At 36.5% G+C, this 18,762-nt stretch overlaps 1 protein-coding gene across 82 annotated transcripts in view, besides 2 other annotated features; it reads left to right on the plus strand.

Moving 5' to 3' along the window:
* MEF2A (myocyte enhancer factor 2A) overlaps positions 1 to 18,762 on the plus strand; it is a 151,072-nt gene that overhangs the window by 47,491 nt on the left and 84,819 nt on the right. For 8 of the 82 annotated variants that reach the window (NM_001400035.1, NM_001352614.4, XM_047432520.1 and 5 more), the window contains one exon: positions 18,176 to 18,280. The exons of 57 other annotated variants lie outside the window; for them this stretch is intronic. The gene's annotated coding sequence lies outside the window, so the exon portion shown is untranslated. Of the gene's footprint in view, positions 1 to 3,523; positions 3,558 to 7,956; positions 8,174 to 13,914; positions 13,974 to 18,175; positions 18,281 to 18,762 lie in introns of those variants that run through there. 17 more of the 82 variants (XM_011521582.3, XM_047432522.1, XM_047432525.1 and 14 more) reach the window with 8 other exon arrangements.
* Positions 2,247 to 2,296: an enhancer, noted in NCBI's record as "active region_10161". NCBI's record gives its function as "activates an Ori minimal core promoter by ATAC-STARR-seq in GM12878 lymphoblastoid cells {active_cell/tissue: GM12878}" and the evidence as "EXISTENCE:reporter gene assay evidence [ECO:0000049][PMID:35858748]".
* Positions 16,124 to 16,774: an enhancer, noted in NCBI's record as "OCT4-NANOG-H3K27ac hESC enhancer chr15:100169236-100169886 (GRCh37/hg19 assembly coordinates)". NCBI's record gives its function as "activates a minimal SCP1, AML or CMV promoter by ChIP-STARR-seq in naive H9 embryonic stem cells {active_cell/tissue: H9 hESC(naive)}" and the evidence as "EXISTENCE:reporter gene assay evidence [ECO:0000049][PMID:30033119]".

Raw genomic sequence — 18,762 nt, forward strand, 5'->3', positions numbered from 1 at the left:
AGCAAGTGAAAAAAAAAAAAGGAAAAGACCAAGAAAGCCATGTAATTCAAGGAAACGGGAGAGAGAGATTTCTCTATGGAAATGAAGGCCATAAATGTGTGTATAAATTGCAGTGCGTAGATATAATGCAATCAGGACTTGATTCATTTGTATGATTTTGCTACTTCACTCTTGTACATAGCCAATCAGTGTTTGAATAAAGAGTGTAATATTGTAATATAATAAAACAGAGGCTGTGAACTAAAGACGTACATCATCGTAATCTGTGGAGCTTTTAAAAAGTACTCTTGCTTGGATATTAGTCTCAATTATGATTTGCTGGTTTTATTGTGGGGCTAGGGCAAGTTTGTGCATGCAGAGTATATGTTTTAGTTCCTCAGTTGAATCCGGTGTTCTTTTAAATTGAGAACCACTGCATTAGATCAGTGAGTTTTATTGATCCATTTATTGAACTATCTAGTTATTATTGTTTTATGCAACAATAGTAAACGGCAGTAGGAACTGAGAGAACCTCAATCTAAACAATACACACTTTAACAGTCCCCGCACCCACCCCTCCTAGGGCCATCCCTGTGGGTAATCTAGCAATTGTGATTCCTCTAAGTCTTTAATAATTGAGATTGAGAGGAGTCATTTATTTCTCTTTTTTTAAAGGTACCTTGAAGCAGGAGTAGTAGTGGGAAGTAAGAAGCTCAAGTTCCTTTGCAAATGCTTGCAACTACAGTATATCCCTGGAAGGCAGGGAAAGGTTATCAGCGTTGATAGCAGAGCAGGAGGGATTGGGAAATGGAGACCTTTGAGGAGGTCAGAACTCTTAAATTAGCTGATAAGTGCTCAAGGCATTTGTATTTTGACAGCCCATGGTAGCATCAGATAAATTGCCTTTTAACGGGGAACGTATTGACATGTAGTGGTCCTTCCACATGCTCTAGTTTCCCTTGTGCAGCCATACACAACTTAGTAGAAATTGTTTTAATATTCTACTACTGAAAAGTACCATAAACTCATGAAATTGGGGTTAGATGGCTCCTTGAAGGTTTTATCACATCAGTGGCATTTTTAACCACTATTTAAATAGTTCCGGTGGTGATAATGTACTGTTATGGAAAAAGACATGATATTAGGGCCAAAATTTCAACTCTGCCTCCTAGTGTGACTTTGGGTGAGTACTGATTGTTTTTACTCGCAGTTGCTTCATTTAGAAAGTGGAACAGATGCCATCTACCTCACAGGGTTATTGTTACTGTTACATGAGATAATATATATTAAGGTCTAACACAGCTACTGATAAATGTAGAAGATATTTAATAAATATTAAGTTACCTTCCCTTCTGCAGTTCAGTGAAGAATAACTTCTTTTTTTTTGGAGATGAGGTCTCACTATGTTGCTCAGGCTGGTCTTGAACTTCTGAGCTCAAGTGATCCCTCACCTCACCGTCCCAAAGTGCTGGGATCACAGGCGTGAGTCACCGCGCCAAGCCCAACAATAACTTATAACTCCAAAAAATTGGTTCTTAGAGAATGTCCAATAGCCTGGGATTGTGAAATCTCATACTTTGACTTTTGCTTTCATTTGTTAAGCAACTATGGTAGCAGCTGAGGTTATAGGAGTAAATACAACAGACTTGATCTTCTCCCTTGGTTACAGTTTGGTTGGGGGAAAAGAAATCAAACATTTAATTGTATAAGGAAGTAATTACAGTTGAGGTAAATGCCATAAGAGAGAAGTACAGTCTGTTAGGAAAGTGCATTAGAAATCCTAACATAGTTTGGATGTTAGGGAACATTTCCTTGAGGAAATAATGGTAATACTGAGACACAAAGGATGGGTAGGACTGTCAGTAAGGAGAAGGGCTTGGGATAAGAGCTACTGAGAGAGAGCAAGGTGGTAGTATGTATGAAAGCCCTGAAACAGAAAGGAGTTAGGAGCTTTCTAAGTACATAACAGCTTGTGTCAAGAAGCTTGCTGGGCAAGAGGAAGTGTGGCATGGAATGAGGAGTTCCATGAGTAGAGGAGTGACAGGATAAGGCAGAGCCTTACAGGCCATGTTAAAGGCTTGGGCTTTTAAGAACAGTGATAAGTGACATGATTATATTGGCACGTTAAAAGGTTGCTGTAATGAAAATGAGGAAATTGCACTGGAGGGAAATAAAAGTGCCTGCTGAGACCAGTTAGGGGGCTGTTGCAATGCTTAGGGTAAAGGTGAACAGTGGCTGGTACAGAAAAGGAACAGGCTTGGTGTGTTTGGTTTAAGAAAATGTTGGGTTTTGAGATACCTGTAGGGTATCTTAAGTTGAGTAGTTGAGAATGTGGTTGGATATAGCCAGTTAGGCTAGTGAGGTAGCTCTGGCTGAGGCCTTTGCAGTAGGCTGATAAGCTGAGTTTCTGGTATTTGTCTTTTATGCAGACTTAACAGCAACTTGAGTGCATGTGTTGTGAGTATTTTTATACTCATTATTTTACAGTTTTTAATATTAAGTAATGATTATCACTTAAGTAATGGGTATTGCATTATTTTACAGTTTTTAATATTAAGTAACGGTAATAATAATGGCCAACATTGAGCACATGTGCAGATTACTAGGCCAAATACTTCATATGTGTTATCTCTTAATCTTTACAAGTTTATGAGCTTTATTATTAGTCCAGTATTTTAAAGATTTGGCATCTGAAGCTTAGAGAAATTGAGTAACTTCTCAAGGCAACCCATGTAGTAAGAGGTGGAGCTGAGGTTTGAATGCAGGCGGGCATGCTGCAGACCCTGTCCTGTTAACCATGTTAACCACTACCGTATGCCACTTCTCTGTGAAATTTGAACCAACCAGACAAACCAAACAGAATGACTGAGGGACCATTTATTAGTGAACTTTTATGGAAGACCTGTGTATACTACACGTTGTACTATAGGTGATTTGATACAGTCTCTTATTTACATCAACATTCACATGGCCTGTGAAGTATGGTTTTTGCCTCATTTTAAAAATGAAGAAACTGTGGCTGAGCAAGTAAGTGACTTGGTCAAGATCACTAATAGCTATTTAGTGGAACTTGGATTCAAAATGGACTCTTCTGTGTTATACTACTTAAAAATAAAAACTGTGTTGACTTAAAAATAAGAAAATTTCGCTGGGGAACACAATTAGATTTAGTGGTTCCCATATATCAAGCCACAGTCAGACTAGTTCTTAAAAAAAAATTAGATCTCAATGTTTAAAATTATAGATTGAATTTAGAGAACAAACAGCTGAGAAAATTGAGATACTTAAAAATAAATAATAGGTATTTTACGTGTATACAAAGTAAAGACTTTATTAAAATTATTTTAGAAAAGATAAAATGAGAAAATATTTTCTAGGAAATGTGTATCCATTTTATAATATCTGCGAATAGGTTAGACAAAATTACAATATTGATGACTGGGTTTTTTTTGTCAATAGTTAATTGTTAGCATTTGTATAGGACTGCATCTTGATCTTGCTGTAATCACTCTGTCCTTTAAAATTTCTTCTGTTTCTTCCTTAGTTTTGAGAAGACAAATGGAAATTAAGTCAATGAGGTAACATATTATAATGCATCTTAAATATTGGCTTCTTTTAGCATCAGAGTTAAGACTCATCTTACCAGTACTTTCTACTGCCTACTAAAAATTAATAAGAGGCAATTAAGCATAGTATTAACAGTGTAGCTCCTTTGGGATCTGGTTTTTGGAATACTCTGTTTTCAGTAAGCCCTTTGCAGAGAGATTTAGTCTTAGGTATATACTAAAATAAATATATATATATATACACCCATCATGTGCCTTCCACTTTTTTACTGACAGTTGATGATGAGGGACATCTTTTGGGTACCGGATATCTGTAAAGTAATGTTATATTTGGTTTTCTTTCGGTCGATGGGTACACCATTGAGAGCTGTGGCCATGGGGCTTGTTATTACAGTAAGAAAAAGCCTATCTCCTGAGGCTAGCAGAACCTGTCTGAAACAGATAATTGGATTTTGATTGGTTGGCTGGATGTGAGAGCCTTTTTGAAGCAGTCTTATAAGGTGCTTTTGATTTTAGGAAGCCAAATCAACAAGTTACTCTTCCACTGTCTCCTGCCTTGTCTTTGTTACAGTCATTTATTTGTCTTTTTTCATGTGATTATGATCTGTGTATCTTACGAGAATTGCTTGCTCTTCTTTGAATGCTGTCTTCTGTCACCCAGCACTGCTGTTCAGCAGTTTTTGAGGACTTAACTCACACATCATCATTTCTTATAAAGACTGCCATACTGAGTTACCTATAGGATATCAGAAACAGTCAACTTCAGAACTGTATGAGAAGTTTCATTTTTAAGGCCATATATGTGTTTGGTTTTTTTTTTTTTGTATGGTCTGTATTTATTTGTAAGGTATCTTTGCTTTCTATTTCTAGCTTTCTGTATCATCTGGCATTTTGACTTAGATGATTTTGGTCTTCTTGACACTTTAGATATGTTATTAGTACAGTTTTTATGGCTAGAATAGAAAATATAAGATGAAATGACAGAGCAGAGAAAGAATATTTATGATTTGACATGAAAATGACCTACCTAAAACATTTTTGAATGATGTATAATCTCCTTGTCCTTTTGGGAACAGATTATAATCAGCTCTTAAATTATCAGCATGTATGTATCAGGATACTTTCTGCTGCAAGTAACAGAGGCTAATCAAAACAGGAAAGATTTTACCATCTCATATAATGAGAAGTACAGTAGGGTGGTTCCAGGGTTGGTTAACTCCAGTCACTCTTTCATCTTTTCTTTGTTATTTTCATTTTCTTCCACTCTTTCATTCTAAATTTTTTTTTGTTAAATTGCCCATAACTATTAGCATAGTCTCTAAGCAGTGTGTGGTTGACATAAACTGTGTTTATGCCTGTGGGGGAGAAGAAGCAGTAGTCATAGGCTTCTTTGCTCTGAATTGTTTCTAATGATTCTAGTGTATTTTCTGTTTCATCTTTTATTCTCGTAGTTGAACCCAAAGGAATATGAATTGTTGTCTAGATACCTAACAGTGTTTATTTGTAAATTACATGTAAACATTTAATGAAACAAACTTTAAAAAAGCACAGAAAATCAGTGTTTCTCTCTGTAGTCAGAAGCCCCACAGACAATAAAGCATCCTGTCAGTAAATCCATTGCACTTACTGTGATGTCCCTTGAGTTGTAAAACATACTAATCTTTGCTTAGCAGAAATTATAATCTTCAATTAATATTACATATTACATTTTTAGAAGTGCTTTATAGATATTAGAACCATGGAATGTTAGAGCTATGTTACCCTAAGAAGGATCGAGAATCACTTGTGTAGTATTTTGGCTGGAACAATCCTAAACTGAGGAATATTCTGTATAATGACTGGCTTATATTCTTGAAAATGTCAGTGTCACAAAAGAGAGAGGCCAAGAAACTGCTCTAGATTACAGGAGACTAAAGAGACTGACAACTAAATGTGATATATAATCCTGAATTGATCCTGTTACTGAAGAGGGTAAAAAATGCCCTAAAGAACATTATTGGGATAAGTTACAAAATTGCAATTATGGCCTGCGCTTTAAAGTACTGCGGCAATGTTATATTTATTGAATTTGATAACTGTGCAGTGGTTATCTTTATATTAGAGAATATTCTTCTTAGGAAATTTCGACTTTAAATATTGAGGTGTAAAGGGCGTGATATATGCAACTTACCCACAAGCGGTTCAGAATAATACATTTATTTATCTATGTTTATATAGATGTGTAGTACATATACACATAAACATATCCATGAGAGTGAGAAGAGAGAGAATGAAAGTTAATGAAAAATGTTAAAAATTGATGAATCTAGGTAATAGGCAGGCATTCTCTATACTGTTCTTGTAACTTTTCACTAAGTTTGAAATTATTTTTAAAATGCAAAGTTAAAGTTGTAAGTTAAAAAGTAAAATAAAAACAGTTTTTCTAAATGGTTGCAAATATGAGTATACTTGCTAAAGACAAGCTTTATGTTTTAAGGCATGTGTGAAATTTAAATTGTGAAAGGATAGGTATACTGGATCTAGGAAGATCTACATTCCAAAGTATGAGCAAATAGGAGGTGGCAGCACTTGAAGCTTGAAAGATTGTAACACCTCTGGCATGGCTATTGAGGATGGAAGGGGGAAGGAGGGAAAGAACCAGGCTGTGAGAGCGGTGGTGGATTTCTTTATGTCTCTAGGGTTTATAGTCAACGCTCCTTTGGCAGCAGTGAGATGAGGATTTCTGTGGTAGGGCTGGGCAAGTAGCAGCCAGACTCCTTACCTTGGGGAGAGCCCTGGATCTACAGTCCCTGGGCAAGGCTGCTGCATTGCGCCTCAGACTAGCTGCTCCGAAAACCAAGGCAGGGCTTTAGCTTCTCACCCCCTCATGAAGGCAGCAGAATACAGCGGTTGGAGTGCTGTTCTGGAATACCACAGACCTGAGTTGTCTTGGCTCCAGTATTTAGCATCTGCGACCTTGGCGGGGTGATATTTACTGCCTAGTCTTCAGTTATTTTTCAGATTTAAAATGGGGATAATAATAATGCCTGTCTTATAAAGAGGTTGTAAGAATTTAAAAAGTTATGTGTGAAGTGTATTGCTGTTGTTACTATGCAGCAGGGCCCTAGAAAACCTTTCTTTCTCCATTCAGCCAACTGATTACTCATTTTGTTTTCAGATCATAAATATTCACATCATAAATGTTAATGTGTTCTATACCATGATTGAAAATGTGTGTGTTAGTATTGTAGTAATACTGTCTTTTGGACCCCTTTCTTCAAAATATTTGCAAATGTGTGGTATTTTATTCTGGCCTCATGTGGTACATATAATGCATATAATTGGATTTTCCTGTTATAAAAAGTCACTTTTACTTAGAAATTGTCAGGTGCCAAAGGTTATACAGCTAGTTTAGTGACAGGTTTGGGGCTGGGATGTAGGTTTTCTCACTTGGCTTGCAGTAAACCTTCTCAGTCAGGTTGTGAAGAAAGAGTAACTGGAAATTGCACAAGATAGTAAAGTAGAAGCAACATTTCAGTAATGTTTAAAGTTTTCTGGCATTCAGGATGTTTTTCTTCTTAACCTTAAAAGCATCCATTAGTTCTTGTTTTGTAGTAACTTTTTTTCGTACCACGACAGTGGTGTGTATTTTAGAAAAAAGGAAAATAATTTTTTAAATTGCCTTTAAGTTATTATTTTAAATAACTTGAGTATATGCTGCTAGTCTTTTATCTGTGAACACAATATCTACAGAATTTTTTTCTTTGACTTTTATTTTTGGTTCAGGGGTATGTGTGTATGTTTGTTACATGAGTAAATTGCGTGTCACTGGGGTTTTGTGTGTGAATATTCATGTCACCCAAATAATAAGCACAGTAGGTGATAGTTTTTCAATCTTTACCCACCTCTTACGCTCCTCCCTCTAGTAGTCTCCAGTGTTTGTTGTTCTCAACTTTGTGTCTATATACACTCAATGTTTAGCTCTCACTGATAAACGAGAACAGTGGGATTTGGTTTCTGTTCCTGTGTTAATTCGCTTAGAATGATGGCCTCCAGCTGCCTCCGTGTTGCTGCAAAGGACATGATTTTGTTCTTTTTATGACTGTGTAGTGTTCCATGGTGTATATGCATCACGTTTTCTTTATCCATTCCACTGTTGTTGGATATCTAGGTTGATTCTGTGTCTTTGCTATCATGACTAGTGTTATGATAAAACGTACATGTGTCTTTTTGGTAGATTAGTTTATTTTCCTTTGGGTATATACCCAATAATGGAATTGCTGGGTCAAATGGTAGTTCTGTTTTAAGTTCTTTGAGAAATCTCCAAACTGCTGTGCACAGTGGCTAAACTAATTTACATTCTCAGCAACAATGTGTAAATATTCCCCTTGCTCTGTAACCTCACAAACATCTTTTTTTTTTTTTTTTTTGGGACATTGAGTCTCACTCTACCCCCCAGGCTGAAGTGCAGTGGTGTGATCTCGGTTCACTGCAACCTCCGCCTCCAGGTTCAAGTGATTCTCGTACCTCAGCCTCCCGAGTAGCTGGGATTACAGGCGCCTGCCACCATGCCTGGCTGATATTTATATTTTTAGTAGAGATGGAGTTTCACCATGTTGGCCAGGCTGGTCTCGAACTCTGGACCTCAGGTAATCTACCCTCCTCGGCCTCCCAAAGCGCTGGGATTACAGGCGTGAGCCACTGCGCCTGGCCAGCCTCACCGATGTCTATCTACAGAATATTTAATAACAAAACTAGAACTACATTTTTCCTACCCACAACAATACATTGTGAACATTTATTGTACAGTGTTCCACCTTTTTAATGGCTACAGTATTGTAGGGACAGGCCACCTCTGTAGGCTTCTATATTATTCCCCTGCCATATATTCACTCTTTTGATTGTGTTGGGATGAACATCCTTATTTGTATATTTTTCTCATTTTTTTTTTCTTAGACTAAATTCTTGAAAGTAGAATGGATTTTTCAGGGGAAGCTGAAATTCATTTCTTTTTGAAATACTAAATTTTTAAATGTTGCCCAAATTGTTTAAAAACTTTATATCTACAGGATGATTTGGGGGCCATTCATTTGCAACAGTAGTAAGTGTTTCTGTTCCTTGGGGCTGAGTTTGCTGTTTTCATTTTACATTTTGTCCCTTTACTATTGTCTATATGCCCAAGACTCCCAATGCTTATTTTTAGCCCTGATGTATGAGTCTTATGTCTAGTTTCCTATTTGACATTTTCACTTGTCCATGACCATCTCAAGTTTCGTATGTCCAAAATTAAATCCTTAAGTTCCATTCTTTTAAAAAAGTAATAGATCCTTAAAGATTTTCTTTTGATAGAGATGCCTGTTTATTTCTTAAAGGAGTTCAGTTGTTGATTGTACATAATCATTTTTATTCCAAAAATCATTTGCTAGTTTAAAAAAAATTTTAATGTGTAGTTGATTGGCCAGAGTCATCAAAATGGGGTGTTCTGATGAACTCAGTGATTGGTGTTAATAAGGACTCAGTTTAAAAAGTAAAGTTTACCCCCTGTTTAAAGTCCATGCTCTTAAAATATTTATTTACTTAAGCAACAAGTTTCTTTAAAACAGTAAACAAAATTGAGTTTAAAAGACTGTGAACATTTGTAATCAGTATTAGTATTAAATTGGTCTGAATATGAGTGCTAGATTCTATGATATCTTTTAAATTAAGACAGTAGAGCCCATATTGGGAATGTTTTTAAAAATCTGGTTCCTGATTTTTTAAAAACATGACACATTTTTTTCAGTTACCTGAGTATTCAGTTTAAAGTAATTTTTTCCTGCATTCCTGTTGCCTGAATAACAGATATAGGACTTGGGATTTAATTGGAGAGATTCTTTTTTCCCTCCTAGGAAAAGATAACATTAGTTTATGGGAGAAATGCCCATCTGTTTTCTAAAGGTAGATTTTAAATGTTGCCATTTTGAGTAAAACTCCTTTAGCTTTACCATATTGAAAAATCAGTACTTGCATGATTTAAAAAGTTAGTGGTTAGCTTGAATTAATAAAATCTGACTCCTGGAATTATTTGAAAGATATATGCATTTTTTTCAGTATTTGAATATTTTGAAATTGTACATAAATTTTTTGAAATTGTTTGAAATTTGTAAAACATACTTAACATAGAATTTACCACTTTAACCCTTTTAAAGTATATAGGTTAGTGGCATTAAATAAATAGACATTATTGCTGTACAGCCATCACCACCATCCTTCTTTAGGATGTTTTCTTTTCTTTTTTTTTTTCTTTTTTGAGATGGAGTCTCGCTCTGTCACCCAGGCTGGAGTGCAGTGGCGTGATCTTGGCTCACTGCAAGCTCCGCCTCCCGGGTTCATGCCATTCTCCTGCCTCAGCCTCCCTAGTAGCTGGGACTACAGGCGCCGCCACCATGCCCGGCTAATTTTTTTTTGTATTTTTAGTAGAGACGGGGTTTCACCGTGTTAGGATGGTCTCGATCTCCTGACCTCATGATCCACCCGCCTCGGCCTCCCAAAGTGTTGGGATTACAGGCGTGAGCCACCACGCCCGGCCCGGATGTTTTCATCTTCTCAAACTGAAACTCTGTACTCATTACACAGTGACACCCTCCTCTTGACCCTCCCTGCAACCCCTAGCAACTAACTACCATTCTACTCTATGTCTCTGAATTTGACTACTTTACGTACTTCATACCAATGGACTCATTAGTAGATTGGTCCTTTTGTGATTGGTTTATTTCCCTTACCTAATGTCTTCAAGGTTCATCTCTGTTGTAGCATGTGACAGGATTTCCTTCTTTTTTAATGCTGAATAATATTCTATTGTATGTATGTACCACCTTTTAGTTTATTCTCCCACAGGTGGACATTCAGGTTGCTTCCACCTTTTGACTATTGTGAATAATGCTTCTATGAACATTGGTGTACGGATATCTGAGTTCCTGCTTTAAGTTTTTTTGATTATATGTCTAAAAGTGGAATTCTTGGATCAGATGGCAATTCTATATTTAATTTTCTGAGCAAACGCCATACTGTTTTCCATAGCAGCTGTACTATTTTACATTCCCAAGAACAGTGCACAAGTGTTCCAGTTTTCCACACCCATGCTAGTGCTTGCTGTTCTGTTTCTTAATAGCCATTTGAATGGATGTGAAATGGCATCTCATTGTGGTTTTGACTTGCATTTCCTAATGATTAGTGATGTTGAGCATCTTTTCATAGGCTTATTGAACATTGGTTTATCTTCTTTGGTGCAATGTCTATTCAAGTCCTTTGCCCATTTTTAAATTGGGTTATGTTTTTGTTGAGTTTTTAAATATATTCTGGATATTAATCTTGTATCAAATATATGATCTGCCGTTTTTTTTTTTTTTTAATTGAGACGGGGTTTCGCCCTTGTTGCCCAGGCTGGAGTGCAATGGTGCGATCATGGCTCACTGCAATCTCCGCTTCCCGGGTTCAAGTGATTCTACTGCCTCAGCCTCCCAAGTAGCTGGGATTACAGGCATGCACCACCAACCCGGCTAATTTTTTGTATATAATAGAGATTGGGTTTCACTATGTTGGTCAGTCTGATCTTGAACTCCTGACCTCAGGTAATCCACCCACCTCGACCTCCCAAAGCGTTGGGATTACAGGCATGAGCATGGCGCCCGGCCGTGATCTGCAGTTATTATCTTTCATTTGGGGTTGCTGTTTTACTCTGTTGATAGTGCCGTTTGATGCACAGAAGTTTTTAATTTTGATAAAATGTAGTTTTTTTTGTTGTTGTTGTTGATGGTGCTTTTGGTGTTGTGACTAAGAAATTATTGCCAAATCCAACATCTTGAAGCTTTTGCTGTATGTTTTCTAAGAGTTTATAGTTTTAGCAGTTGGGTTTAAATCTTTGATCTATTGTGATTTAATTTTTGTATATGGTGTTAGATAAACATCCAACTTTATTCTTTTCCAGGTAGATATACCATTTTACCAGCATCATTTGTTGAAAAGACTGTCCCGCATTGAATGGTCTTAGCATCCTTTTTGAAAATCATTTGACCATATGTGAGGGTTTATTTGCGGGTTCTCTATTCTATTCCACTGGTCTTTATGTCTGTCTTTATGCCAGTACCACACTGTTTTGATTACTGTAGCATTATAGTAAATTTTGAAATCAGGTGTGAGTCCTTCAACTTTGTTCTTTTTCAAGATTATTTTGGCTATTTGGAGTCCCTTGAGATTTCATACGAGTTTTAGGGTGACCTTTTCTATTTCTGCAAAAATACCATTGGGATTTAGTAGAGATTGCATTGAGTTTGTAGATCCCTTTGTGCAGTATTGATATCTTAATAACATGATCTTGAATCTATTAATATAAAACATCTTTCCATTTGTTTATGTCTTTATTCTTTCATCAGTGTTTTTTAGTTTTTAGTGTGCAAGCTTTTCACCTTCACCTCCTTGTTTCATTTTCTAAGTTCAGACGATACCCAACTTACAGTGGTTTGACTTACGATTTTTCGACTTTACAGTGTTGTGAAAGTGTTGAATTAATTACATGAGGTAGTCAACACTTTATTTTAAAATAGCTTTGTATTAGATGGTTTTGCTGAACTAGACTAATGTAAGTGTTCTGAGCACGTTTAAGATAGGATAGGCTAAGCTGTGATGTTTGGTACGTTAGGTGTATTAAGTGCATTTTTGACTTAGGATATTTTCAATTTATGGTGGGTTTATAGGGATTTAACCCCATCGTAAGTCAAGTAGCATCTGTATTCTCTTTGATTCCATTGTAAATTGAATTTTCTTGTTTCATATTGTTCATTGTTAATGTATAGAATTGCAGCTGGTTTGTGTGTTGATTTTGTATTTTGCTACTTTACTAAATTTATTAGTTCTACCATTTCTTTTGTAGAATCTTTAAGAGTTTTCTACGTGTAAGATCATGCTTGCTCATGAAAGGATTCTAGGGGACAAAAGACATCATGTCATCTTAAAACAGATATTTATACTCCTTTTTTTCTAATTTGGATGCCTTTATTTCTTTTTCTTGTCTAATTGCTCTAGCTAGAGCTTCCATTACAGTGTTGAATAGAAGTGGTGAAAGTGGTCATCCGTATCTCATCCCTGATCTTAGTGGAAAGGCTTTCAGTCTTTGATCATTGAATATGAAGTTAGCTGTGGAATTTTTATATATAGTATTTATTATGATGAAGTAGTTTCCTTCTTTTCCTAGTTTGGTTGAGTGTTTTTATCATAAAGGGTGTTGTATTTTGTCAAATCCTTTTTCAGTACTAATTTAGATGATCATGTTTTTTTTCCCTCTTTATTCTCTTATGTGGTGTGTCACATTGATTTTAGTATGTTGAAACATCCTTGCGTTGCAGGAATAAATCCCACTTGATCACCATTATAATCCTTTTAATATTCGGTAGAATTCAGTTTGCTAGTATTTTATTGAGGGTTTTCGTGTCTATTCATAGGGTATATTGGTCTATAGTTTTCTTGTTGTATCTTTGATTTTGGTATTAGGGCAATAGGACCTCATAGAATGAGTTAGAAGATGTTCCTCTTCAGTTTTTTGGAAGAGTTTGAGGAGGATTGGTGTTAGTTCTTTAATTGTTTGGTAGAATTCATCAATGAAGCCATTGAGTCTAAAGCTTTTCTTTGTCAGGAGGTTTTTAATTACCAATTCAATCTCCTTACTAGTTATTGCTCTATTCAGCTCTTTTTTGTTTCTTTGCAATTCAGTCTTGGTAGTTCTAGAAGCCTTTTGTGTTTCTAGGAATTTGTCCATTTTATCTAGGTTATCCCAGTTGTTGGTATATAGCTGTTTATAAGTACCCTCTTACAGTCTCATTTATTTCTATAGAGTAAGTTGTAATGCCCCCACTTTCATTTCTGATTTTAGTAATTTTGAGTCTTCTCTTTTTCTTCCTAGTCAGTCTAGCTAAAGGTTTGTCAATTTTGTTAATCGTTTTGAAGAATCAACTTTTGGCTTCGTTGATTTTTTTTTTCCGTTGTTTTTCTGTTATCTATTTCATTTATCTCTGCTCTCAAATTTGTTATTTCCTGCTTTCTGCTAGCTTTGAGTTTTCCTTTGGGGGAAAATCACAGCATCTTAATTTTTATGGCTTTATATAGTATGTGTGTCTTTTAGCTTTATCATTCAAGGTTTTCTTGGCTATTCTTTAACCTTTGTATTTCCAAATGAATTTTAGAATCAGCTTATCAATTTCCACATACAATAAGAGAGAACCCGCTGATATGTTGATAGGGTTTGCATTCAGTCTGTACATGAATTTGGGGAGAATTAACATCTTTATAAAGTTGAAATTTCTGAAATTCTGCAAATATAGATTTGCTTATTATTTTCTACATTTTAAATTTCTCTCAGGATCAAGACAAGCAAAGTCATCTAACCGAAAGCGAAGATGACTGATGCATGTTGGAGATGTAAGCAGAGAGAATATGGCATAAAATAATCAACAAGGAATTGGGAAATGGAAGGTTTCTGGAAATGGAAGATTGTAATATGAAGGGAATATTTGAGGTTTAAGGTTCATGACCTTCATGAACTTAAAGTGAGATTAATTGGCTTGATTGGCATGCTAATTTTTTTTCACCTAGCCATATTTAGCTACATGGAAGCTGGTCTTCAGGGGTCAGATTTTGCAACAAAATGGAGGCAAGGGGTTGGAGCCAAAAGGAGGTGAGGGTGTGAATATGTAACTGGATAAGGAAGATAGTAAGGAACACGAAGTGGGTTAGGGCCAGTGAAAAAGTGGGAGTTTGAGATCAGCCTGGCCAACATGGTGAACCCCGCCTCTACTAAAAATACAAAAATTAGCTGAACATGATGATGGATGCCTATAGTCCCAGGTACTCGGGAGGCTGAGGCAGGAGAATCACTTGAACCCAGGAGGTAGAGGTTTCAGTGAGCCGAGATCACGCCACTGCACTCCAGCCTGGGCGACAGAGTGAGACTTTATCTCAAAAAAAAAAAAAAAAAAAAAAAAAAAAAAAGACTTGCTATAATTGTAGACTTGACTTAGTTTTTTTGGTGTTGGCTTTATATATAGGCATACCCTGTTTCTTAGCTGAAGTTTATTTAGGAAAAGTGTATTTTTACATCACAAAACTCAGTAGTCTAACAAACTGGTATATGTGAAAAGTCACAAATTATATTCCAAGTATAGTTTGTAGAATATTAGAATTACATTTAGGCATTTTGAAGCATGTAAAGGGAATGTGCATCTCTGATGTTGCTGGCAATAAGCTAGACATTACAATATTAGAAGCCTTTGAGCCATTGTCTTCCATGTGTGTTTGTGCTAAACATTTTTCTAATTGCCTTTCATATTTAGCCCTTATTTTTGCTTAGATTTGTAGAATGCACAAAAAAGTTGAGGAAGTGTTAAATTGTGGAGAAGGAAAAAAAGCCAGTGAGAAAGTAACTGCATATGAAGTCATGTAGTAAGCATTTTACATCCCTTAGCCATGGTAATTTACTATAAAAGGGGATTTTTTTGTGTGCTGAATTTTAAAAGAGAAATGATTGGGGATTATGGTTGATGTGTAACGTATTATAATTTTTCCCTACTTGAAATAATGGGAAATAAATTTCTGGTTATGGTTTTTGCACAGAATATCTGATTTTCAGGAGCAGATTCCTAACTGTAAGTGTTGTTAGGTACACTCAGATTTAGAACTGATATGTCTTCCTGGTGAATTGAACTTTTATTGTTTTGAAGTATCCTTCTATATCTATCCATGCAATCCATGTATATGTATCTAGTGTCTGCCTCCTGCATTCAAGTTTACTATGATAGCCACACAACTTTCTTTTGGTTTGTGTTTTACATGGTGTGTCTTTCACTATGCTTTTACTTTTTTTCTGTATCCCCATATTTAAGATGTGTCCTCTGTAATCATCATATAATTGGGATTTTTAAAAATCCACTTCTATTATCTTCTTTTAAAAATTGAGGTTTAGTTTAATCCTATTTAATGTAATTACTTACATATTTGGATTAAATCTGTCATCTCTGTTTGCTTTCTATTTGTCTTTCCTTTCTTGCCTTCTTTTGGGTTATTTATTAATCCATTTTTCCCCCTCTTAGCTGTTTGTGCTTTTACTGTTCTTGCCATAGTTACCCAAGAGATTACCACATGCATCCCTGACTTTAAGGTCTAAAGTAAATGAGCATTTTTTCTACTTCCTAATCAATGAAAGGATTTTAGGACACTTTTATTTCATTTTGCTATCCTCCCCTATTATGTACTATTACTGTTATGTATTGTAACATTTGAAATCCCACAAAGTATTATTGTTTAGTCAGTATTCCTTTATTCCTTTGGAGTTACTCAGTGAACCCTCTCAACCCTGTTCATTGCACTTCATCTTTTGTGCATATCCAAGCTGTATATAGGGTTCTTTTTTCTTTATACTTGAAAAGTCCCTTCAATATTTCCTGATAACAGACTCTGTTTGTTTGCCTTAAAGTTGCCTCTCTATTTTGCCTTCATTTCAGAAGGATTTTTTTTTTTTTTTTTGTCAGATACAAAATTTTGGTTTGGCATTTCCCCACCAGCATTTTGAAGATACCATTTCACTGTCTTCTGGCTTTTATTATTTGGGAAAAGTCAGCTAGCTATAACTCTTATTGTTGCTTCTTGAAGTTAATCTTTTTAAATTTTTCTGGCTGCTTTTAAGATCTCTCTGGCTGGCTGAACGCGGTGGCTCATGCCTGTAATCCCAACACTTTGGGAGGCCGAGGCGGGTGGATCATGAGGTCAGGAGATCGAGACCGTCCTGGTGTTAGGAATAACACTCAAAATCCTAAGGAAATTGAACACTCGAACAAAGGATTCTTAGCAAAGCAATTTACTTCTGCACAGAGGGGTGCCTCATTGGCCAGTCGCCATGAGAGCACACCTGAACAAAGGGGCACGAGAGCCTTTATTCCTGACGCAAGTCCTGCCCCTGTACCTTTTTCCCATTGTCTGGGGTCGGGTCGTACAATCTAAACTAATCCCGGTTGGCTAAACATTTGATTTTTTTTTAGATAAGGTGGGCATGTAAAAGAAAGCGGAGAGGAAAGGGGAAGGGGTGTCTGTAATGAGCTAGAAAGTTAGTCCTCTTTCCAAATAAGGAAAGGAATGTGAGCTGGTACTGATAACGCCTGGTACTGTGGCGTGCCTGGGCATCTAACAAAGGCAAAAGGAGAAAAAGGGAAAAAGGCCGGGGTGGGGGTACTATGAGTTAAAGAATAAAAGATTGATCATGTTATTTGAAGAGAAACTTCATTGTATCCCATCCTGGCTAACACAGTGAAACCCTGTCTCTACTAAAAATACAAAAAATTAGCCGGGCGTGGTGGCACGTGCCTGTAGCCCCAGCTACTTGGGAGGCTGAGGCAGGAGAATCGCTTGAACCGTGGAAGCGGAAGTTGCAGTGAGCCGAGATCACGCCACTGCACTCCAGCCTGGGTGACAGAGCAAGTCTCTGTCTCAAAAAAAAAAAATCTCTCTTTGGGGGTGGGGGACCTCCTTCTCCCTCCCCCACTCTTGCCCCCGTCCCTCTCTTCTCCCTCCCCTCTTTCTTTCCTTCTCCCCCTCTCTCCCCTTTGATGTTCCTAAGTGTGGTTTTCTTTGTATTTATTTTGCTTGAGGATTGATAGAGCTTCTTGAATCTGTGGCTCGATGTCTCATTGGTCAGTTTTGAAAGTTCTTAGCTATTATGTCTTCAGATATTTTTTTCTTGCCTATATGTTTTCTCCTCCCCTCTGAGACTCCAGTTACATGTACTTTGTATCCGTTTTCCATGTGCTGTAATTTCTCATTCTTTTCTATATTTCTCATTCTCTTTTTGTGCTTCAGTCTAGGTGTTTTATTGTTTCCTGTCTTCTGGGTTGATTCTTTCTTCAGCTGTGTCTAAAGTATTATTAAAACCATCCATCACTTCTTTTTCAAAATTGTATTTTTTGATTTCATGTTTTCCACTTTTTGTTTATGAAAATTCTTCATTTTACTTTTTAATTCCTTGAACATTTAACTTGTTTTAAACTTTTTTCTGATAACACCATTATCTGGATCTACTGTGAATCTGTTTCTATTGCCATTTTAAAAATCTTGGTTTCAGTTGGGTTTTGACCGGTTATATTTTGATTTCCAGACATTTATATGAAACGTGAAAAAATGTGAATTTCTAGATGATGTTATCTTTCTGCTGAGAATTACTTTTGCTACTGGTATGCAGCTAGGCCAATAAGAGTAGTTGGCCCGGATTGCCTTAATCGAATGAGGGATTGAGATGATTTAAAGCTGTGCTTCTCTTCCTGCGTGGGCTAGTCTGTTGCTAGTTCACCTTTATACCTAGAGTATAGTTCTTTGGAGTCTGTCCCTATGCCTGATGTGTTTGCCAGGGCTGCTCCTCCTTGGCAGACCCTAAATCCAAGTTTTGTATGTCCGCCCACAGGTCTCTTGAAAGCTCTGTTAACTTTCTCAGTCTCTCGGGCAGTAGTTTTGGAATCTACAGGCAGATGAGTCCAGAGACTGGTCTCACCTATTTCTTCCAGATCTCCGCCCTGCAGATTCTCTAGTTTTGAAAGTTCTCTAGTGTATAAAACAGATTATCTTGTGTTTTTCTTTTCTAGTTGTTCTCAAAGGAAGGTTGGTTTGAAGCAAACTACTCCACCATTGTCAAAAGCAAAAAATGCCCAAATATGTTCTGGAATTAAGAATTTTTTAGGTGATATAAGGTAGTACACTGTATCCATCTTACAGCCATTAAAATATCTTGCATGCCTTAGCGATACTGTCTCTGTAGTAAAATGTATTAATATTTCTCTTGCCTACTACAGTACAAGTGTTTATATTGGGAATTGGATACAATGTGATCTGTTAAAAGAAATATTCTACAACACAGCCTGTTTGATTGGGCCCCACGAGTGACTAGCCATCTTTCAGTTCCTCTAATGTTTCCTGTTCCCTTTTGTCATGGGGCTTTTGTACATGTTGTTCTCCCTGCCTAATATGTATATCTCATACTCGAGTTTGAGTATGAGACACATCCTCAGGGGAGCCTTTCCTGAACCATAAATTTAATTCAGATAAATGAACTTTCTAGTTTGGAATTATGCAAACTCATTTGCATTATGGTTTGATTAATGTCTTTTTCTTCTACTAGACTCTGAACTCTGCTAGATTAGGAATCATATCCTTTTTTTTTTTTCTGACCATG

This window comes from Homo sapiens, chromosome 15, assembly GCF_000001405.40.
Source record: "Homo sapiens chromosome 15, GRCh38.p14 Primary Assembly".
Lineage (NCBI taxonomy): Eukaryota > Metazoa > Chordata > Mammalia > Primates > Hominidae > Homo > Homo sapiens.